At 50.2% G+C, this 22903-nt stretch overlaps 3 long non-coding RNA genes across 4 annotated transcripts, besides 3 other annotated features; 1 reads left to right on the top strand and 2 right to left on the bottom strand.

The window, feature by feature from the left end:
- Nucleotides 551-845: a silencer, noted in NCBI's record as "tiled region #5138; HepG2 Repressive DNase unmatched - State 4:PromP". NCBI's record gives its function as "weakly represses a minimal TATA promoter and a strong SV40 promoter by Sharpr-MPRA in HepG2 cells {active_cell/tissue: HepG2}" and the evidence as "EXISTENCE:reporter gene assay evidence [ECO:0000049][PMID:27701403]".
- Nucleotides 551-845: an enhancer, noted in NCBI's record as "tiled region #5138; K562 Activating DNase matched - State 8:EnhW". NCBI's record gives its function as "activates a minimal TATA promoter and a strong SV40 promoter by Sharpr-MPRA in K562 cells {active_cell/tissue: K562}" and the evidence as "EXISTENCE:reporter gene assay evidence [ECO:0000049][PMID:27701403]".
- LINC03034 (long intergenic non-protein coding RNA 3034) lies at nucleotides 6489-14584 on the top strand. Its single transcript, NR_171016.1, has 4 exons — nucleotides 6489-6644; nucleotides 8000-8079; nucleotides 13639-13880; nucleotides 14015-14584. It is a non-coding gene; the product is annotated as a long intergenic non-protein coding RNA 3034 (long non-coding RNA).
- Nucleotides 11045-11617: an enhancer, noted in NCBI's record as "H3K27ac-H3K4me1 hESC enhancer chr15:31517937-31518509 (GRCh37/hg19 assembly coordinates)". NCBI's record gives its function as "activates a minimal SCP1, AML or CMV promoter by ChIP-STARR-seq in naive H9 embryonic stem cells {active_cell/tissue: H9 hESC(naive)}" and the evidence as "EXISTENCE:reporter gene assay evidence [ECO:0000049][PMID:30033119]".
- Nucleotides 12344-21330, bottom strand: LINC02352 (long intergenic non-protein coding RNA 2352). Its single transcript, NR_135834.1, has 2 exons — nucleotides 21314-21330; nucleotides 12344-13356 (listed from the first exon to the last, which is right to left on the bottom strand). It is a non-coding gene; the product is annotated as a long intergenic non-protein coding RNA 2352 (long non-coding RNA).
- Nucleotides 17825-21037, bottom strand: LOC124903454 (uncharacterized). 2 transcript variants are annotated; one of them, XR_007064556.1, is made up of 2 exons: nucleotides 20222-21037; nucleotides 17825-18062 (listed from the first exon to the last, which is right to left on the bottom strand). It is a non-coding gene; the product is annotated as an uncharacterized LOC124903454 (long non-coding RNA). The 2 variants fall into 2 exon arrangements; XR_007064557.1 differs by lacking the exon at nucleotides 20222-21037 and adding an exon at nucleotides 18708-19653.
- Nucleotides 21331-22903: the final 1573 nt, after the last annotated feature.

Below are 22903 nucleotides of genomic sequence, written 5' to 3'. Positions count from 1 at the left end.
TAGTAATTAGTTGATTAGTTGATTAGTAAATCAACATGAATTCACTATTGCCCATACCCTGAGGAAATCCGAAGGGCAGTGTTGAATGCGTCCATCCTGCTCTGCTCAGGGAAAAGAGTTGCTGAGTCTGAGGCAGGGGCTCTTCTTGCTTGGGGAAGAGGCCCTTGGTGCTGTGGGGCATACAGGAGTTCTCATGACTATGGCAACCACAGGGCGCCATGAACAGCTGTACAGGTTGCACACTACTCAAAGACTCCTTTGAGTCAGGGGGCAAGCAGGTTCTGAAATCTAGTGCATGCCCTGCACTAGATTAGGTTAGGTCTCTTTTTTTTTTTTTATCGCATGAATATTCCATAGAGGCAACAGTGGCCCTATGACCAGGATGAAATGTCATCATCACTCCACCCGCCTTTTTGAGCTCAGTCCCTATGCTTACTGCGCCTCTTTGTGACCCTGCAGACTCCACGGCAATTCTGACTTCAGGAAGGGGGGCTCTGGATTGGGGACCTAAGTATTCTAATCTGGAAGGAAACCTCTGCATGGAGCACAAGGGAACTCGTATCTGGCTTCTGTATTTTCATCCCTTATGCTGGGGGTTGGGGGTATGACTCATTCCCTCTGGACCAAGCGGGATTCCAGGAACTGATGATCTGGCCATGGGCCCTGAAACCACCAGGAGGCTCTTGGGAAATGCACCCAGCCTTCTTCAATCAAGCTGGTGTCTGCGTGGCCCTCCCGAGCTGGCTGGAATCCAGCCTTAACTTTCCCTCCACCCATCTCCCACTGCTCCAGTGACAATGCTCACAATGAAAGCCAGCCAACAGGGGACAAGGTTGCCAGCGGGGCTGAACAGCCCCCTCGGCCCCCTGGCCCGGCCCGTGGGGAGCTGGCAGCCGCGGTGACGGGAAAACACACATTGTTTGGGGGCGTTGCGGATACAGTACAGATTATTTTTAGCAAATTGTTCTGACTTAGTGAAAAACCTGAAAGATAGTGTTGATAATCATTCTTATTTTAGTGCCGCAGATGGCACTGCTATAATTACACCCTTGTTTCTGGGTGACTCTGCTGTTCCCATAAGAAGACACCTTGCCTGATGCAGAAATACATCATTGAAGGTTGTCTTCATTTTTTAATTTCGGGCTCAATCTTTTCCTTTTTACCCTTAAGTATTAACCACATTTGTTGAGAAAGAGTAAATTATTCACATGTCTCTCATGCTAATATTAGCCTGAAGATAACTGAAAGGTTTGGGGCCTCTTTGTTCTCTGATCCGAGTGTCAGGCGGGAATGACCCGCGGCTCTAGGCCTCCTCCTCAGAGGTGCTTCCCGGGCCCTGAGCCAAGTCAGGCTCTGTGCAATCTCATTTCATCCTGCACTTGCTTTCAAATCGGTGTTTTCCATTTGTAATTATGTACTTATCTGTGAAATACTTGGACCAACGCCTGTCCCGCTCCTGGGCCATAAGCTCCACAGAGAAGGGGCTGGAGTTTTTTTTGTTCATGACATGTCCCCAGTGCCTAGAACAGAGACATCTGTGAAACGTAAGAAGGAATGGGAAAGCCACCACTGCAGGTGGGCGTCTAAGGAACCTGCAGCCTCTAGCTCTCTTCCCGGTCCTCCCATCCTTGGGCTCATCACCACTGAAAGCCTTTGGCCGATACTTGGCCTATCTCTGTAACTTCAGTTTTCCCATCTGACGAACAGAATTAATAAAATATGCCCAACTTACAGCAAAGAGATAGCACGAGACTAATAAGGAACATGTAAGTGTGATAAGACTGAAAAGGGGAAACAGATAGGAGCCAACTATTCTATTCTTAAAATTAGAATTGAAGGCCATGTGCGGTGGCTCACACATATAATCTCATCCCACTTAGAGAGGCCGAAGTGGGCCGATTGCTTGATCTTGGGAGTTCGAGACCGGCCTGGGCAACATGGTGAAACCCCATCTTTACCAAAAATACAAAAATTAGCCATAAGTGATGGCACGTGCCTGTAGTCCCAGCTATTTAGGAGGCTAAGGTGGGAGGATCACTTGAGCCCAGGAGGTCAAGGGTGCAATGAGCTGTGATGGCACCACCGCACTCCAGCCCGGGTGACAGAGTGAGACCCTGTCTCAAAAATAAAATAAATAGATAACAATTTTAAAAAGTAATATATAGATATAGATATAGATAGATATAGATTGATTGGAGTGAGGGATACAGACAGAAGAACTGGAATTCCACTGAGAGCCTAAGTCCCTTGGGAGCAGGTGTTTCTTCAAGACCTTATCACAGCCGCAGCCTGAAGCTCAGAGTCTCTCACACAGTAGGTGCCCAGTTGATGAGCTGCGCTCAGTCAGCCTTCAAGATGACCCCCAGCATGACCCCCAGTGATCTCGCTTCCCAGCCTTCACAGCCTCACGTGGAATCCTCCCACACTGCATCTAGGACCCAGAGAATACAGCAGAAGTGATGACATGCCGCTTTCAAGGCTGGGTTCTGAAAGGCACCATGGCTTCTCTCTTGGTTATGTTCTCTGTCTGTGTTTCTCTGTCTCTCTGTTTCTATCTCTGTATGATCACTTGCTCCAGGAAAAGCCACCTCCTGAGCAGCCATTTGGAGATGCCCATGTGGAGAGGAACAGAGGCCTCCAGCCCACAGTCACATAAGTATGCATAAAAGCAGTTCCTCCACCCCAGTCCAGTCTTCAGAGACCACTGCCCCAGTCAACAGCTCAACTATAATCTCACACGTGTCCTCGACACTCAGAATAATGAGCTAAGCCGCTCCCAAATCTCTGACCTTCAGAAACTATGTGATATATACATGTGTGTTGTTTTAAGCTGTTAAGTTCTGGGGCCATTTGTTATGCAGCAATAGAAAACTAATACACCACCCACCCACATCTCTGCCTCCTGGCTCTGCTGAATTGGGGCTGGGGCTCAGCCTCCCCCTAAGCTGCCTCCAGCAGTCAAGCCCCTTCTCTGCCTCCCACCTCTCTGGTTCCCACTTCCTCCCTCCCTTGCAGACCACCCTTCTGCCCCTTCCTCAGCAAGGGCCACTGACAGGGGCCAGCACAGACCCCAGCGGAGGAAAGGGAAGGGCCACGAGAACCAGGATCTCACCTGGTCCTTGAACTCGGGGGACTCATGGCTCTGTCTCCTGGCATGAGATGGAACCTCGACCTTGCTCCCACCACATTGACTCAGCCTTGTTTCCTGAGAGGCAGAGGCCCTCACCCAGCCTCCTTTCCCCTCCATCCTTCCAATCCCACCACAAAGGAGCCATGCTATCCCTTGCTTTCTCCAAGCTGCCTAGAGACCATCACTCTCCTAGTCCCACCACAGTCTCTCCCATGCACCTCAGCACTGGGGGCTGGATTCTTCTGCGGGCCATTTCCCACCAACAAATGCAACTGCCACAGCTTGGCAGGAGTTCCTGCAGAAGAGAGAAAAGCCCCGCTGGCTTCTCACACCCAGGATGTCTGCCTCTAGTTGCCCACTGGATGGAAACGTCTTCCATTTCTTAAAGACTCAAACTCCCCAGAGTCTCCTGGTCCCCCTGATGCTGACTGCCCTCAGTCCTGCACCCGCATCCCATTCTCCAAAGAGCTCACAATGGCAGCCAGCAACTGGCAGGGCTGCCTCTTCCTTTCCTCATTAATTTTGTATTTTTAGAAAAGTGATGCACACATGTAGTATACAGTCCAAACAATTATGCAGCATTCTCTCCCTGGCGCTCTCATTCCAGAGTCCAGAGGCCACCACTTTTCTTCTTTAAATCTGCTTCTGAAAACATAAGGAAATATGGCTATTTTTATTTATTATATCTTGACATTATTTGCTGACTTTCTACCACAATAGTGGTGATTCGACACTTGCTTTCCACTGTATTCCCACTTTCCTCCCCCACCCATCATCCCAATATATCTTTAGATCATAATTTTGGGTTAATAATCAGTGTTTACATTACTAGGACTATCAAATTGTGTTAATTGCAGAGCCCAATAGTGTGCAATGAACTTGTTCCTTTCTCATTATCCACTCCTGCCGCCTGCCCCAGAGGAAAATGCTTCCTTCTATCATTCACTTAGTTGTCAATGTCCTTAAGGCTAACTCTCCCCCAAATACTTCCATATTTCTGCCAAACACCTATCAACAACTGCTTCAAACTCTAACACATCCCATAGGCTGGCAGTTCCGCCTTCCCTGGAGGCCTTCTTCCCAGGGCCCTCTGACTTCCTGTTCTGTTGCTACAAACTGCCACCTTGGGGTCTCTCTTGGTCTCCCCGTTGGGCTAGGTCCTGCTTCCTGCACCCCAGGTCCTCCTGTCTCTTGGTTTACTTGATTGTTTGGGTGGGACGCATCCTCCACTATCTCCTGAGGAAGGATACACAGAAGGCAAAGGTTTTAAAGATGTTGTATGCCTAGAAATGCAGTTATACTATTTTATACTTGAAAAATAATTTGGAAAGATATAGAAATTTAGGTGGAAAATGATTTTCCATCAAAGTTTCAAAGGCATTATTCTATTGTCACCTGTCTTCCAGTGCTGCCATCGTGAAGTCTAATGACATTTCATCCTTAAATCTTTGTGTGTATTGTTCTTCTCCCCTGCAACCTCCAGCTTGCGAGGCTTTCTCTTCATCCTGAATGCTTTCAGATTGTATGGTGACATGCCTTGGTGTAGAATTCTAAAATGGTGGTCCTTAACAGGCTCTTTCCGTTCAGAGGCTCCCATCCTTCACTTGGTAATTTTCTTGTATTATTTATTTGAAAATGTCTCCCCCTTGTATCTGGTCTCACCTTTTGTAACTCTAATTAGTGGAACCCCAAATCATCTGATTGACATGCTAGTTGTCTTTGGTGTCTTATTGTCAATCTTTTTGTCTTTTTTCTAGCAATTTTCTTGACTCCACCTTCTATCTTATTTATTAAATGTCCTCTTTCTTGTGCTTTGATGATCCCTTTCTCCTAGAATGCCAATCTTTTTTTTGTGTGTGTGTGTCTGTGGTCTTGCTCTGTTGCCCAGTTTGGAGTGCAGTGGCGTGATCTCAGCTCACTGCAACCTCCACCTCCTGGGTTCAAGTGATTCTCCTGTCTCAGCCTCCCGAGTAGCTGGACTACAGGCATGCGCCACCATGCCCAGCTAATTTTTGTATTTTAAGTAGAGACAGGGTTTCACCATGTTGGCCAGGCTGGTCTCGAACTCCTGACCTCTGGTGATCTGCCCGCCTCAGCCTCCCAAAGTGTTGGGATTACAGGTGTGAGCCACCACACCCAGCCTAGAATGCCATTCTTGTTTCCTGGATGCAATCTCCTCTATCAGCTCCCAAGAATGTGACTGACAGGGGCTTCATGTTGAGCTTTGCTCTGCCCCTTCCCTCTGCTTCCTCTGAGTGCCTCTTCCCTATGTGTTGCTGGTTGTGCTCCATGTTGGCTGCTTCACTCCTGTGTTCAGTGACCGTGGGCAGTTGGTTCATCTCCAAGGGCACAGCCCTGAAGAGCTCACTGAAGACTTCTTGCTGGCAGGGGATGGTTATAGACTGGTGGCTATAGCAGATTCTTTGTTGGGCAACCCTTACCTGCAAACATGTTTAGGTCTCCTCTCTAGGAACATATGTCCTGCCTGGTACTTGTAGGTCATGCTGCCAACTTCCTGGGAGTAGAGTCGGGAGGGGGTCTTGGGGATCTCCTCAGTGTAGGTGAAGTCTTTCTTCTTATACCTCGACCCCTTTTTAGTCCAGAACCCCACCCCTGCCTTCTGCTGTCCTTCAGCCCCTGAGCCTAGAGCCTCCTTTCTACAATTTCCCCAAAGAACAAACTTCCAGGCTTGTCTGAGGCATGCTGTGGAAGGAACCTGGGATCTCAATGGCTTCCCAGACAGAGTGCTGATCAAGCCCCCTGGTTTGGCCTCCACTGCCCCTGCCCCATGGCCTCTGTAGTGCCAGCTGTCTCCACTTGCCCAGGCTTCTGGGTGGGACCAAATGAATGGCCTTGATTATTAGCAGCATCGTCCCTCCTTGCCTTCACCTGTCCTTGGGTCCTAGCTTTGTCCCATCTGTTCCCCTCACTCACATCTCAGTCTACCTATCAAGAAAATGGGGATAACAGTGGTTCCCATCTCCTGGGATTGCTGTGAAGAAGAAATGAGCTCAGGGTGGTGTCATCATCACCAAGATGGAAATAACCTGGGCAGCCCCTCGGGCAAGCTCTGTCCCCAGTGTGTGTTCTGTTCTGCTCACACAGACCCAGAAAGAGGAGCCAGCCAGGTGACAGTATGAAACACACATGTTGAGTGTGCAGAGCCGGGAACTCTGTTCCTTGCACGTGCTCCAGGCCCTGCCAATGGTGCATGACCAGTCACCAGCCAAGCATGGCGCTGAGAACGTATGTGGCCTCCCTGAGGCTTTGCTCAGTCCCCTCCCTCCACACCCACAGAAAGAGGTGTGCACACATGCAAAATAGCAATAATAATAGTATGAGATGGCAGCTGAGACCTGTGCAGCTGATGACAGTTTGAAAGAAGGATGAGCAGGCTCTCTGCCATCTGCCCACCAACTTTTCAAGTTACTTTTACCCACCTTCAAAATTACATCTGCTTTTAGCAAGAATTACTGATGTGATAAAGATGGGAGTGTTCACCATGCAAGGGCAGGTAAGTTGCTCTGTGCCACTGGGGGTTTAACCCTTAAAAGGAGAGGGGTCTCCCTTCAGCTGCTGCAGGATCCTGGTAGAAGGGGGCACAGATGACATGAAAACCCAGGGAGCCATGCCTGCTGCTGGGATCCGGGCTCACCCACCTCGTGCCCCTACCCAAAACTGTCGGGACACGAAGCCTTGCCGGGAGCCTCGAATGCCCAGGGGCTTGGCCAGGCCACAGACTGTGCGGGGAATGTGTGCACACTGCCCACTTTATCCCATGGCTGTGCCCGCCATAGGTTATGCAGCAGCAGTGGGCACGCGCAATTCAGTTGAATTCAGGGAAGCCAGCAAGTGCTAGGGAATTTCGATGGATGACCTAAGCATGGTCAGGTGTCTATTTAGAAAAATATACACGGCCAGGCGCGGTGGCTCATGCCTGTAATCCCAGCACTTTGGGAGGCCGAGGTGGGTGGATCACAAGGTCAAGAGATCTAGACCATCCTGGGCAACATGGTGAAACCCCGTCTCTACTAAAAATACAAAAATTAGCTGGGTTTGGTGGCGCACGTGTGTAATCCCAGCTACTCATGAGGCTGAGAAAGGAGAATCGCTTGAACCCGGGAGGCAGAGGTTGCAGTGAGCTGAGATGGCACCACTGCACTCCAGCCTAGTGACAGAGCGAGACTCCGTCTCAAAAAAAAAAAAAAGAAAAGAAAAATATACACTTAGGAGGGCGAGGCAGGCAGATCACTTGAGGTCAGGAGTTCGAGACCAGCCTGGCCAACATGGTGAAACCCTGCCTGTCTCTACTAAATATACAAAAATTAGCTGGGTGTGGTGGCGCACACCTGTAGTTCCAGCTACTCAGGAGGCTGAGGCAGGAGAATCGCTTGAACCCGGGAGACGGAGGGTCCAGTGAGCAAAGATTGCACCGCTGCACTCCAGCCTGGGCAACAGAGCAAGACTCTGTATCCAAAAAAACAAAAACAAAAACAAAACAAAAAAACAAAAAAGCAAAACAAAAAAAAAAAACCACTTAATGTACATGATGTGGTAGAAGAAAAGCACTTATTAGTGAGAATTGCCGCCTCCTCCTAAGAAGAGTGTCCCCTACTGCAGGGTGCTTTGCTTCTTAATCAGGCTCAGGAGGGAGGGTCTGAGGCCATTGAGACCATGCCTGGAACAAGGAGGCAGACAGCCAGGCTGGTGACTACAGAGTGCCACGCACACACAGGGGGTGGAGCCAGCACCTCTGTGCTCCACCTATGAAGTGGCCGGCAGTCCTTCCCAGGAGGGTGTGAGCTGAGGTCTCCTGGGTACACCAGCCAGCCCACGGCACAGAGCCTGCCTGTTGGTCTCTACCCACAGGGGATCCCCTGCTGCTCCACCATCAGATTTGGGACACCACCCCCCCCCCGGCCCCACCAGAGGGCATCAGCTATGCCTAGGTAAGTGCTCATCTTAGGGACAAGTAAGAACATAATCAACTGCAGAAATGTCTGCAGGTCTGGCAGGCTCTGCCTCTGCTGCCCCATGCAGACTTCAGCCCAGGGCACCCTTCCTGGTGCTGCACTGGCTGTGTTGTGGATCTGCCTTTCCAGGGCTGGCCTTGTAGACCCTGACCCAAGGAGCAGCTGGGCTGGTCCCACTTCCAACCAGCAGCAGGCAAGGGTGGGACAGAGCCAGACTGCAGCCTCCCCAAGGCATGGCTTTGAGTGTTTTAAAAAACTTAAAATGGCCGGGCATGGTGGCTCACGCCTGTAATCCCAGCACTTTGTGACGCCAAGGTGGGTGGATCACCTGAGGTCAGGAGTTCAAAACCAGCCTGGCCAACTTGGTGAAACCCCATCTCTACAAAAAATTCAAAAATTAGCTGAGCATGGTGGCAGGCGCCTGTAATCCTGGCTACTCGGGAGGCTGAGGCAGGAAAATTGCTTGAACCCAGGAGGCAGAGGTTGCAGTGGAGATTGTACCATTGCACCCTAGCGTGGGTGACAGAGTGAGACTCCCTCTCAAAAAAAAACCCAAAAAAACAAAAGAACTAAAAATGTCCTTTATGCTTGGAGTCAAACATTCCAACAGAATAAAGGAGACAATAGGAATGCTACCACCCCAGACCCCAGGCCACTTACCTGACGGTCTCAGTCAGCTCAGGCTGCTATGACAAAGGACTATAGACTGGGTGGCTTATAAATAGCAGGCATTTATTTCTCATAGTTCAGGAGGCTGGAAGTCCCATATCAAGGTGCCAGTATGGTCAGGTCATGGGGAGGGCTCTCTTCAGGTTGCAGATGGCCACGTGGCAGGGAAAGAGGAAGAGAGCTTGGGGTCTCCATCCTCTTGACCTAAACTCCCAAGGGTTCCACCTCCTAATGCCATCGCACTGGGGCCGAAAATTTCTACATATGAATTTGGGGGGAGGAGTACACAAACATTCAGTTCATAGCACCAGAGAAAACACACTAACGTCCATATTTTATGCATCCTACCAGGAGTTTCTGTGTGCACACACACATACACTCATTCGAACAAATGAGATAAATCTATACACATACCCTCTAGCTTCCTCTTTTTCATGAAACAATATACTCTGAAGATTGCTGTGTTTCATAGACCTAAATATACCTCCTTCTTTTTTTTTTTTTTTTTTTTTAGACGGAGTTTCACTCTGAAGTTTCACTCGGAGTTATCCAGGCTGGAGTGCAGGGGCGTGATGTTGGCTCACTATAAACTCCGCCTTCCGGGTTCAAGTGATTCTCCTGCCTCAGCCTCCCAAGTAGCCAGGATTACAGGTGCCCGCCACCACACCTGGCTAGTTTTTGTATTTTTAGCACAGATGGGGTTTCACCATGTTGGTCAGGCTGGTCTCGAACTCCTGACTTCAAGTGATCCATCTGCCTCAGCCTCCCAAAGTGCTGGGATTACACCTTGAGAGCCACCACACATGGCCACCTCCCTCTTTTTTAATGACTGCATGGTAATGCAGACCTAGGGATGTGATGTAATTAATCTTGATAGTGCTTAAGTTGTTCCTATCCTTTTCCAATCACTACAATGCTTTGATGAGCCTCTGTATTACATGTCTTGACAAGACTCTGAAGTGGGCTTGCTGGGCCAGAGCACATATGTGTGTAGTTCTGGTAAATGTGACTACATTCCCCCATGGAGCATGTTCCTTCAGCTCACTTGAAAGGCGATTGTCAAAGTTTGGAACTTGCTGATCTGATAGCAGAAAGTAGGATTTCATTGATATTTCAGTTTGCGTTTCTGTTATTGTGATGACAGTCAGCATATTTTTGAATGTTTAGAGGCATTTTTCTTTTCTGGGAAGGATTTCTTCCCATTGCCCATTTTCCAATTCAGTTGTTGGATTTCTTTCTCTTTGATTTTTAGTGGCCCTTTGCCTGTGACATAAGTTGCATATATTATTATGCATATGATTCTGTTTTCACATAGACATAAGTATACCTTATTCTTTTTCATGACTGCAGGGTAAATTCCATCTTACAAATGTGCCATAATTTTTTTCTGTTTATCTTTTTTTTTTTTAACTTTAAGCAGGATGTTTTCTGCCATGCAGATATATTTTTTTTCTTATCGGGTAGAATAAATCAATTATGTTGTTTATGGCCACAGGGTTTTGCAAGATCATTAAAGAGTTCACCCCTTTGCAAGATTACAGGGGTGTGTGTGTGTGTGTGTGTGTGTGTGTGTGTGTGTGTGTGTGTGTTTGAGACAGAGTCTTGTTCTGTCACCCAGGCTGGACTGCAGTGGCACAATCTTGGCTCACTGCAGCCTCCACCTTCTGGGTTCAAGTGATCCTCCTGCCTCAGCCTCCTGAGTAGCTGGGACTACAAGCACGCCACCATGCCCAGCTGACTTTTGTGTTTTTAGTAGAGTCAGAATTTCATCATGTTTGTTGGGGTGATCTCAAACTTCTGACCTCAAATGATCTGACTGCCTTGGCCTCCCAAAGTGCTGGGATTACAGGCTTAAGCCACCGCAACTGGCCAACAGTTTTGTTTTGTTCGTTTTTTGTTTTTAATCATTTTCTTCCGGTATTTTTTTGGTTTCCATCTTTGATCCATCAGGCTCCTTCTGGAGGGAGTGGGCCAGCATAGCTCCATAAAGCCACATCCCCAGTATAGTAAAAGTCACCACCTGGAAGGCTGTCTGGCCGCCAGCTTTGCACCCCATGATCAGGCCACTATGCCTGAGTGGAATTGTCTCCTAAACACAGCCCCACTGAAAGGTGAAGCCAGCGGGACTTCCTGGGTCCACTGGGAAGTTGGAGAACTTTTCTGTCTTACAAGAGGATTGTAAAACGAACCAATCAGCACTCCGTAGCTAGGATTGTAAAACGCACCAATCAGTGCTCTGTAGCTAGCAAGGGATTGTAAAATGCACCAATCAGTGCTGTGTAAAAACTCACCGATCAGTGCTCTGTAGCTAGCAAGAGATTTGTAAAACACACCAATCAGCGCTCTGTGAAATGGACCAATCAGCAGGATTCTAAAAGTAACCAATCGCAGGGAGGATTGAGAAAAGGGCATTCTGATAGGACAGGAACAGGACATGGGCGGGGACAAATAAGAGAATAAAAGCTGCCTCCCCCCCAACCCTTCTCCACACGGAGCCAGCAGAGGCAACCTGCTGGGGTCCTCTTCCGTGGTGGGGAAGCTTTGTTCTTTTGCTCTTCACAATAGCTCTTACTGCTGCTCACCCTTTGGGTCCTTGTCTTCTTTGAGAGCTGTAACACCAGGAAGGTCTGGGGCTCCATTCTCAAAATCAGCAAGACCACAATCCCACTGGAAGGAACCAACTCCGGACCCACCACTCCCTCCTATTACAGGCCCACTGCAGGTGCTTTGCTGAGTCTAGTAGAGAATCCTGCCTGAGCCCCGGCCAAGAGTGGGAGCCAGCCAGGAGCGGGGGAGGGAAGGCAAGTGCGAGGGGGAATGGCCCGTGCAAAAAGATCCCCAGCAGGGCACAGCAGGCAACTGAGGACCAAGTCCAGCTGTGCCTACCGAGATCCACTGTGGAGACCATGATGCAGTACACAGAGCACATGGTCCCAGGCAAAACCGAGCAAAATAGAGGACTCCCTGTGCATACCCACCGGCGAGCTGCACCTCACACCGGAAGAGGGAGAGCTTGGCGACCTTTTGCGGCGTGCCAGCCCCTCAGGGAAGGCCGGGTTGTGTCACCTGTCGGGCTCAGGCTCCAGTTCTGACTTAAAAACTCTGATGCTCATGCCTGTAATCCCAGCAGTTTGGGAGGCAGAGGCCCACGGATCACGAGGTCAGGAGTTTGAGAGGCACCTAGCCAACAGGGTAAAACCCCGTCTCTACCAAAAATACAAAAATTAGCCGGGCGTGGCGGGCACCTGTAATCCCAGCTACTCCGGGAGGCTGAGGCAGGAGAATCGCTTGAAACCAGAAAGCGGAGGTTACAGTGAACCAAGATCACGCCACTGCACTCCAGCCTGGGGGAAAGAGTGAGACTCCATCTCAAACAACAACAACAAAAAACTCTGAGGCTGTTTTCTCATCTGTAGAATGGGGTGACACTACGGCAGCCCCTGACACTGTGAACCCTAACATCAGCAAGCACTTCTCAGTGGGTGTGTTAGAGGAAAGTGGTCCCGATCCAGACCCCAAGAGATGGTTCTTGGATTTTAGGCAAGAAAGAATTCAGGGCGAGTCCACAGAATAAAGTGAAAGTAAGTTTATTAGGAAAGTAAAGGGGTAAAAGAACGGCTACTCCATAGACAGAGCAGCCCCAAGGGCTGTGGGTTGCCCATTTTTATGGTTATTTCTTGATGATATGCTAAACAGGAGGTGGATTATTCATGCTTCCTCTTTTCAGACCATATAGGGTAACTTCCTGATGTTGCCATGGCATTTGTAAACTGTCATGGTGCTGGTGGGAGTGTAGCAGTGAGGACCACCAGAGGACACATCTTGTTGCCATTTTGGGTTTTAGCCAGCTTATTTACTGCAGCCTGTTTCATCAGCAAGGTCTTTATGACCTGTATCTTGTGCCGACCTCGTATCTCATCCTGTGACTTAGAATGCCTTAACCATCTGGGAATGCAGCCCAGTAGGTCTTAGCCTTATTTTACCGGCCCCTATTCGAAATGGAGTTGCTCTGGTTCAAATGCCTCGGACAGGTGCGGAGGGAGGGTGGTGAGTGGAGCCCACCCACCACCAAGTCACACGCACCCACATTCCTTCTGAATCGTATTTTCTAGGCATCTTACTAATATAATCCCCACAACAACGAGCTGCAGAAGGTTGTTTCTCTCACAGATTTCTGCATATTCTCTGTACTTGTAGAATTTGGGGGAACAAGTCAAGTTACACAAGCTAATCCCTGAAACGTGAGCCCCACGGCTCCTCAGCCCTCTCCCAGAGCCGGTGGCCTGCGTGCCAGGTCCCCGACAAATGCTGGCTCCATGGCAGCTGCGATGACTTCCCTCGAGAAGTGCCAGTCCGCAGGGCAATCTCGAGGTCCTCGTGCGGGTGACCAGCTGCGGCACGGCCAGCACGGCACAGGGAGGGAGGGGCTGTGCTGACCCTCAGGTGTCTCGCGGGGGCCCTTGGCGGTCCCAGCAGAGGGTTTGCCCGTGAGAAGGTCTGGAAGTGCTGCTTCTTACAGGGCTGCCTTCAATTATTTCAGCTGCTCCGAGGTATTTCAAAGTCAGACCAAATAAACATTTGTATCTAAAAAAGGCGAAACAGGGTCATTTGAAATGGAGAAGAAAGCCTTTCCCGTATCCGGAGGGTGTGGCCCGACATTCCGGAGCAGCGGCAAGGGTTCTCTCTGGTTCTGTGCCTGTGCCAGGGCACCTACCCCAGCCCCTGCTTCAGGAGGGAAGTTATTTTCTTTTAAATCAAATGTGTGGCGACCTAAGTTTCCTTTCCCTGATTTGCTCCGTGGTCACCCTGGGCCCCCTGCTGCTGTCAGGTCAACATCTTTAAAGGGCTCTCTGTGCTTTTCCTAAGAAGGGGACCACAACAGACTCGACAGGATCCACCGGTTGGGCCCAAGGCAGGAGGAAGGGCGGCGCCCCCAAACTCCCAGGACGCCTGCAGCACCCCCCACGCGCCGCTCTCCGCCTCTGGGGAGCATCCTGCCACCCCCCGACACACACACCCCGGCTACATCCCGCCTTCTCACGCTTGGTCAGGCGCTCTGGAGATGTCGGAGATCCAGGCTTTTCCTAAAGAGTCAGGATTGGAAGGCGGTGAGGGCATCAGGTTTTTTTTCTTCTCTTTTCTTCTAGCAATTACGCCCCCGTGGCTAAATTAAACTCCCATTGGCTAAATTAGGCTCGAAGAGAGGGGCACCTGCTGCTAAGCTGTGTATGTTGTCCCCTAGGACTCCCACCGTTTGCTGAGCTCCACATGACAACAGCAGACGACAGGCCGCACTGATCCCACCTGGCTTACAGGTGCTGTCACACAGGTACGCCTTCTTGTGAATCATCAGTCACCATTTGCCCCTCGCAGCAACCCTGTCTTGGAGGAAGGTCCTTGCCGACACCCGCCTCTCCCCACCCTTAGGCTCCCTTGCTCCTTCATTCAACCATTGTTTACATGTCGTTCAGGACTGCTGACTAAACACTTTCAAGCACAGTGGACCCTTGAACAACGCAGGTTCAAACTGTGCAGGTCCACCCACAGGGATGTTTTTCAATCAGAGTTATACCAAGTGTCCCTGCCTCTCCTGCCTCCCTTCCCACTTCCTCCATGTCTTCCTCTCTGCCACCCTGAGGCAGCAAGACCAGCCCCTCCTCCTCAGCCACTCAACATGAAGACAACGAGGATGAAGACTTCTATGATAATCCACTTCCACTTAGTAAATGCTTTCTCTTATGATATTCTTAATGACATTTTATTTTCCCAAGCTTAGTTTATTGTAAGAATACAGTATAAATACACATACAAAGTACGTGTTAACTGATTTTTTAATGTTACCAGTAAGGCTTCCAGTTAACAGTAGGCTATTTATTAGTTAAGTTTGGAGGGAGCCTGAAGTTATACAAGCTCTGACTGCGTGAGGGGTTGGCTCTCCAACCCTCACATTGTTCAAGGCTCAACTGCACCTCTCCTACCTATCTCCCCCACCCTCTGATGTAGTAGGATAAATATAAAAACACTTAGAAATCCTTGAAAACCAGGAAAAATGCCACCAACAGACTAGAACATTGGAGAATTTCTGGAAGATATAAAGCGGAGGAGATCAGATTCGTGGTGAAACGCAATAGAGCCAATGGCCTGCAGGTGGGAGACCATTTCAAGTCTGGAAATGGGGTAGGGTGGGGGCAGTGGAGAAGGAATGAGTCATGGAGCTTGGATACGGTAATCACACAAACGGCTACCCAGGTGGCTGAGGCAGTGTCCTGCCTGTCCCCAGGGTAAAGTCTGAGTGCAGCATTCAGACTGAAGACAAAGATGCACCGGGAGCCTCCAGAGCCAACACTGGCCCAAAGAGAGAAGCAGGGGCCCGCCCAGGTGACTGCCAGGCACTGTCAGCCACACTGACAGGGAGAGCGGCCCAGATGAGAGGCCCAGGAAGGCACTCTGCCTTTGCAACGTCCTGGCCTGTCTCCATGACCACAGGTGCCCAGTGGTGCCAGGGTTGCCAGACAGTGGTGGTTTAGTTGTGTGCAAGAACTACTCTGCACAGCAAGAATGATTGGTTGAGACTGACAGATCGCAAACACACTGCATTCAGGAACCCTTCACCCTCTCTTAGAAATGGCTGAGGGTCTCAGCGGGCTTTCATTCATATGAGTTTATCTATCAATATTTACGGTAGTAGAAGTTCAAGTGAAAAATAAATAAATATTCATTTATCTTAAAATAATAATGGCATGTTAACATAAATAACACTTATACATGCTGGGTGTGGTGGCTCACGCCTGTAATCCCAGCACTTTGGGAGGCCGAGGCGGGCGAGTCACCTGAGGTCGGGAGTTTGAGACCAGCCTGACCAACATGGTGAAACCCCATCTTTACCAAAAATACAAAAAATTAGCCAGGTGTGGTGGTGCGTGGCTGTAATCCCAGCTACTCAGGAGGCTGAGACAGGAGAACCGCTTGAACCCGGGAGGCAGAGGTTGCAGTGAGTTGAGATGGTGCCACTGCATTGCAGCCCGGGCAACAAGAGTGAAACTCTGTCTCAAAACAAAACAAACAAAACAAAAAAACTCCCCAATGTCTGGCTTAATAGCTGGATTTTCTTTTTTGTTGTTGTATTTTTTTATTTTTATGTATTTATGCATTTAATTTTTATGTATTCATATGTATTTAATTTTTTAAATTTATTTATTGAGACAGAGTCTCACTCTGACACCCAGGCTGCAATGCAGTGGCACAATCTTGGCTCACTGCAACCTCTGCCTCCCAGTTCAAGCAATCCTCCTGCCTCGGCCTCCCAAGTAGCTGGGATTACAGGAATGCACCACCACGCCTAGCTTTTTTTTTTTTTTTTTTTGTATTTTTAGTAGAGATGGCGTTTCACCATGTTGGCCAGGCTGGTCTCAAACTCCTGACCTCAAGTGGTCTGTCTGCCTCAGCCTCCCAAAGTGTTGAGATTACAGGCAGGAGCCGCCATGCCCAGCCAACAGCTGGATTTTCATACCTCCTTCTTTCAAGCTATAGTGATAACACACATCATGTAGACTCTGGAAAACTCCACTGAACACCCATTTGTATATGTGCTGCTGAAGTGAGCACCTGAACACCCATTAGGAAAAACAAGTCTTTTTTATTCCTATTAAATAGTTTTGGCTTTGCAGACACCCAGAAAGAGTCTTAAGAACCCTTAGGGGTCCATGGATCTCACTTTGAAAACCACTCTCTGGACGTTCATTTACAAATGGGATCAGACAATCAAAAATCCCCAGACATTTGAAGGAAACCAACAGCCTGCAGAAGAAGTAGACAGAACGCTGGAGAAAACAGGATAATAATGCAGGAATCAGAAGAAGACATTAAAATCAGCATAATTCATATCCTTTGAAAGGTTCAATAAAATATAACAACCAGTTAGATGGCAAGTGGGCACAGAGCAAATACACAAAAATCAATACTTTCCATAGATACCATTAAATAATCAATAGGAGAGGACATTTGCAATACCAACAACAATCATAAATAATCTAGGCATAGGCATAACCAAAATTCTGGAGAACCTACATGAAGAAAAATGTTTAATCGTATTAAAGGACATAAATTGAGAGATGTATTATGTTTCCCGTAGGAAGCTTCAATATTGTAAAAGTGGCAATTATTTGAGTTGCTCCGTGAACTGTCCTCTGCATTATACTAGGTTGAGTGGGATTTCTGTCAAGAGTATGCACCAAGAGTCATAACTAATATATCTTGTAGGTCAGCAGTCCCCAGCCTTTTTGGCACCAGGGACCAGTTTCATGGAAGACAATTTTTCCACAGACACAGGCTGAGCGGGGGATGGTTTCAGGGTGAACCTGTTCCACCTCAGATCATCAGGCATTAAGAGTCTTTTAAGGAATGTGCAACCTAGATCCCTCATACGCACAGTTCACAGTAGGGTTTGTGCTCCTATGAGAATCTAATGTCGCTGCTGGTCTGACAGGAGGCGGAGCTCAGGTGGTCATGCTCCCGCGCCTGCTACTCATCTTCTGCTATGTAGCCTGGTTCTTAACAAACCACAGACAGGGAATAGTCTGCAGCCCCGGGTTTGGGGACCACTGCTCTAGGTTGAAAGCCGCTCCAAATAAAATAAAGAGACAAGTGACTGATTACAAGATGTTTGCAAGATATATAATAGTCAAAAGGTTAATATACTTAATATATAACATTCCTGGAGTCATAACATTTTAAGACAAAGAACCTTAAAATACAGGCAGATAATAGAAGCTAAATGACAAGTATCTACATGCATGAAAACGAATCAACCTCTGAATTAGTTAGGGTAAAGCTCACCTGCTCTAACAAAGAGGCCTGATGATACAGAGGCTAGAAGAATAAACAGATTTGTTTCTGTATTAGGTTCTCCAGAGAACAGAACCAATAGGAGAAACACACACACACACACACATATATATATGATAAGTATGTGTATATTTATCTAATATATATTATAGATCTATATTAGACATTACATAGGCTATATATATACACAGACACACATGCACACACATTTATTTTAAGGAATTTTGAAGAATTTATTTTAGGGAACTGTTGTAAGGGATTCATTTTAAGGAATTGGCTTCTGCGGTTGTGGAGGCTTGGCAAATCCAAAATCTGCAGAGTAAGCCGGTAGGCTGGAGACCGATATTACAAGTTGGAGTTCACAAGCAGTTGGCCAGCAGAATTCCTCCTTGCTCAGAGCAGGTCAGTCTCTTTTCTCTTAAGGTCTTCAACTGATGGGATGAGATCTGCCCACATTGTGGAGAATAATCTGCTTTACTCAAAATCTTCTGATTTAAATGCTAATCTTATCTTAAAAAGTACTTTCACCGGTTGTGGTAGCTCAGGCCTGTAATCCCAGCACTTTGGGAAGCCAAGGTGGGCAGATCACTTCAGGTCAGGAGACCAGCCTGGCCAACATGGTGAAACCCCATCTCTACTAAAAATACAAAAATTAGCCAGGCATGGTGGCACATGCCTGTAATCCCAGCTACTTGGGAGGCTGAGGCACGAGAATCACTTGAACCTGGGAGGTGGAGGTTGCAGTGAGCCAAGATTGTGCCACCGCACTCCAGCCTGGGCAACAGAGTGAGACTGTCTCAATCAATCAATCAATTAATCAATACCTTCATAAAAACATCTAGAATAGTGTCTAATCAAATATCTGAGCGATGTAGCCAGATATTTAAGTTAACACATAAAATGTGCCATCCCTCTTTCTTTCTCAGGTTATGGATCTGAGCTGAGCAGCAGCTCTGCTCCTCCTGGTCCCCCCAAACCCCAGGACCCTTCTCTCCTGCTGCTCGCCTCCCCTTGGGCACTGCCACAGCCAGATTCTAGGCAGCTTGGAGGCCGAGGTACAGAAGAGGCTCCTATCACAGGCCTGCTCTTACTCTGTCACTGAGAACTTGGTCCTGTGGACAAGCCTAACTGTAAAGCAGGCTGGAATTGTAGTTGAGCTCAGCAGCTGCTGCCCAGCCACAGATCTGTTGGGTTGGAAGAAAAGGAACATGGATTGTTTTTTCCCTTTAGTGGAGGTGAGGTCTTGCTATGTTGCCCAGGTTGGCTTGAATTCCTGAGTTCAAGCGATCTTCCTACCTTAGCCTCCCAAAGTGCTAGGATTACAGGCATGAGCAAACCAAGAAGTCTCTACCCAACCTCCCTGTTAAAAAGGAAATGTAAACTAAATCCATGAACTACTTTCTTTTTTTTTGCTTATCAGATTGGCAAAAATTAAAAGTTTGTAATCAGTTGTATGTATCAGACAGGAGGGTTCTTAACCCATAGTAACAACTACAGAAAAAGATCTTATTTTGGAGGGCACTCCGAATCTTGAGGATGCAGGAGGAACAGGCTTGGAAAATGAGCAGGTGTCAAGAGGCCTCCCTAGGTCAATGGCAGAAGCAGGCTTGCTTGGACACTTTGGCCATGGGACATGATGCCACAGCTGGACAGAGTCATGGCCAGGCAATGCCACTAGCACCCCCATTGGACATTCTCTGCCTGTCCCAGGTCTGCAGATGCAGGGCCCTGGGGTTCTCTGCCCAAATGTCACCGTGCCCATTACCAGGGCCATCTGGGCCTGTTGAAGCTTCCCTCTTCCTCACTCTATGACCTGAAGGGGATGGAGGGTCCTTTTCTGGTGGGGTGGGGGTGGGGGTTGGGGAGGTGGAGGTCCAGTATGGAGCTTGAACCGGCAGGCTGGTGTAAGGTCCCCACTCTTTTGGAGGGTTTTACTAATGTCTCTAGGAATCTCAAACACACGGCCAGGCGCGGTGGCTCACGCTTGTAATCCCAGAACTTTGGGAGGCCGAGGCGGGTGGATCACAATGTGAGGAGTTCAAGACCAGCCTGGCCAACACAGTGAAACCCTATCTCTACTTAAAATACAAAAATCAGCTGGGCATAGTGGCAGGCCTGTAATCCCAGATATTTGGGAGGCTGAGGCAGGAGAACCGCTTGAACCCAGGAGGCGGAGGTTGCAGTGAGCTGAGATCGTGCCACTGCACTCCAGCCTGGGCGACAGAGCTAGACTCCATCTCAGAAAAAAAAAGAAAAAAGAAAAATCTCAATGCCACATAGCCAGTAGTTCCTCTTCTAGGAATCTTCCATTGGTTGCAGAAAAGAACATATTCTTAGTGTAAACAGTAATTCATGGAATAATACGCATATAAAAGTGGGAGGCCTCGTTGTTAACCTTATGAGCTCTGGAGTCAGGCTCAAATTCTGACTTCTGTACTTAGTAGCTGTGTGATCCTGGGCAGGCTACTTAACCTCTCTGTGCCTTAGGCGCCTCATCTGAAAAATGCGAGTAATAGTAATAAACTTTACTGAGGTTCGTGGTGATTAAATTAATATTTGCAAAGTGCTCAGAACTAGATCTTGGCATTTGATGAATACTGATTACCCATTAATTCTTTTTATGATATCCTGACCCCGTTTCTTCCATACAAAGCAGGTTAACATGCATCCGTGCATGTTGGTATGTGCCCAGAACTGTACACACGCACCCATTAACAATGGCTGCCTGGAAGTAGGGGTAAGAAGGAAGTGTGAGTATCCATGTCCCTTTGTGATAGATTTATTTGTGAATTACTGTAACTTCCTACATCAGGCACTGACACTTGTGGACAGGTGGGTAGGTAATAGGTAGTAGCTATACACAGGGGTGAACAAGGACCAAGCAGGCAAAGCCCCTGCCCTGGCACAGGGGACTCTTCCAGGTCTAACTCAGGCAGTGTAAGAACGCCCCAAGGGGCCTGGGATGCCCAGGAGCAGGGAAAGGGACTGAGGACCGGCGCTTCCCAGTGCCAGGCCACGGCACTCAGCATTAGCCACCCTGCTCCTGGAGGTTCTGGGGCCAGATGTCCCCCCAAGTACGCACGGTCATTCAGTGAACAAGTGCTCTCATCTGGAAGCGCACACGCCTCCGGCGGGCTGAACTGTGGAGAGGGTCCAGGCTCCACAGCGAACCGCCTCCCAGCAACCGGGCTCGCCCATCGGAGGCAGAGGTCTGGCAGGAAGGGCTGGGAAGGGCGGGGTCGGTGCGGCCTGACCCCTACACCCCTTAGGCCTGGAGGCGGATGTGCACTTCGCCCATTTCAACATTTCCTCCCCGGCTGGCCTCGGCCCAGGAAAGAGGCAGGGGTGCGGTTTCCCTCCGCCTCTCCCTCAGCCCTTCTCTCCCGCACCCCTCCTCCTCCTCCCACCGCTCCTTCCTCTCCTCCTTTCCCGCACCCCTCCTTTCTTTCTCGCTCATCTCTCTGCCCTCCTTGCCCCCTTCTTCTGCCCCTCCCCCTCCGCCTCCCCCTTCCCCTCCGCCTCCCCCTCCCCCTCCCCGGGTCCTCTCCCTCCCGTTCCCCCGCCTTGCCCTCCTCCTCCTCCTCGCGGCCCCCGCCCCGGAAACCTGGCTCGCCCCGGGAGGCTGAGGTGGGGCGCGCGGGGTGGTTCAGGGGCCCATCCTCTCCGCCTCCCGCGCGCCCCGCCCGACGGCTCGCACCTGCTTGGCGGCGGCCGCTGGATTCTCGGCCTCGGGCTGAGGAGGCAGGAGGGAAAGTGGGTCAGCGCGGGGCCGCGGCAGGGCTGCTGTTGTGCTTGGAAAGGGGCCCGGGGTGCCGGAGGCCTCTCCCAGGCGCGGCGGCAGGAGCGCCCGCGCGTGACACTCCAGGCACAAAGGGGCCGGGCCGCCGCCTGCACTGGGGCTCGGGCGTGCGGGGAGAGGCTGTCGGGCGCCGCACGCATGGACTGTGTTCCCCTTCCCGGCCACGGCTCGGGGCGGCGGGGGCCCGGGGCTCTCCTGTCCCCGAGCGATGTCCCCAAGGCCTAACACCGCGAGCCGGAGCTAGCAGGCGCCCACCACGCCCGCTCTTCGTTCGCCCCACCCGGGCTAGGTCTGGGCGGCTCCCTCCTCCGGACGCTGTCCCCGCCGCCCCGCCCTGCCCCCTGGTGTCAGCCACAGGCCTCAGCAGCCTGGCGTCCTCCTCCTGGGAGCATTTTTCTGACACCTCTGGGGGACCCGGTCCCCTGACCCCTACGCTCATGCGGTCTGCCCAGGTCTTGGGGGGGCGTTGGCTCTGTTTCCGGGAAACCTCCGAGGCTGATACCTGGCAGCAGCCCTGCGGAGGACTGCCCAGCCACTCACCTCCCGACCACCGTGCACCCCAGCAGCTCTGGGACGCCGGGCTCTGTGGGTGGGCTGGGTCGGGCTGCAGACATGGGTCACTGTCCTAGAGCAAGGACTGGCTGCGAGAGCAAGGAGGGGACCAGGCCTTTGAGATGTCAGTCCCCAAGCTCCCCTCTGCTGTCCCCTGCACAGGAGCAGAAGGGCATGGCCTGAGGGTCAGGGTGCCTCAGCTGGCTTCCTGCACTGCCGCACACCTTGTCCTGTGCCCCCCGCCCCCCGCGTGCTAGGACCTCACCGTCCTAACATGCCCAGAACTCTGGCTACTGCTGGAGCTGGGCCTCCTTCCTGGAGAGCCTATCCCCTGGGTCACCTGATGAATGTTTCACCCTGTTCCAGAAGCTTTCCAAATCTCTCGCCAGAATGCCTCTCCAGCCCTTGGCTCCTGTTGCACAATCTGCATCCTTCTGTGCCCACGCCTGGTGCAGGCCTCTTCTCAGGCTCTGGGAGGCTGGCCTCTGTGAACGCTGGGCTGAGCCAGCTTCTGACCCAGGAGGGGCCCAGGGCTGCAACATTCTCACCCTGCTCCAGGTTTGAGAAGGTATTTCCATGGGAAGCTTGTGTCAAATGCGTACCCTTCCTGTGTGTCCTCACGTGTGTGCAGCAGTAACTGCACAAGGCTATAGTCGGCACTGCTGAGCCTGGGGTAGCCCCTGAGCTTGTCTGAACCCAGCTGAGTGGAGCTCGATTGACAGGCAAGTGTTTGGTGTCCCCCTGGCTTGTAGAAGGGCCGATGTTAGCTCCTGAGACCACCATGTGTCTACTGCGAAAGGACAGCTGGACACCTGCAAGCCTCCTACAGATAGGGGAAGGAGGGAATGGGGAGAAGGGGAAAATCAGTAAAATACGACCTTTTCCAGCACCTGGGAGAGAAGGTGCTCTTGCACCAAGAGCCAGACACTGCTCTCC

The sequence above is a fragment of the Homo sapiens genome, chromosome 15, assembly GCF_000001405.40.
Source record: "Homo sapiens chromosome 15, GRCh38.p14 Primary Assembly".
NCBI lineage: Eukaryota > Metazoa > Chordata > Mammalia > Primates > Hominidae > Homo > Homo sapiens.
Note: the sequence above shows the minus strand (reverse complement) of the source record. Positions and strands in the feature narration are given on the sequence as shown.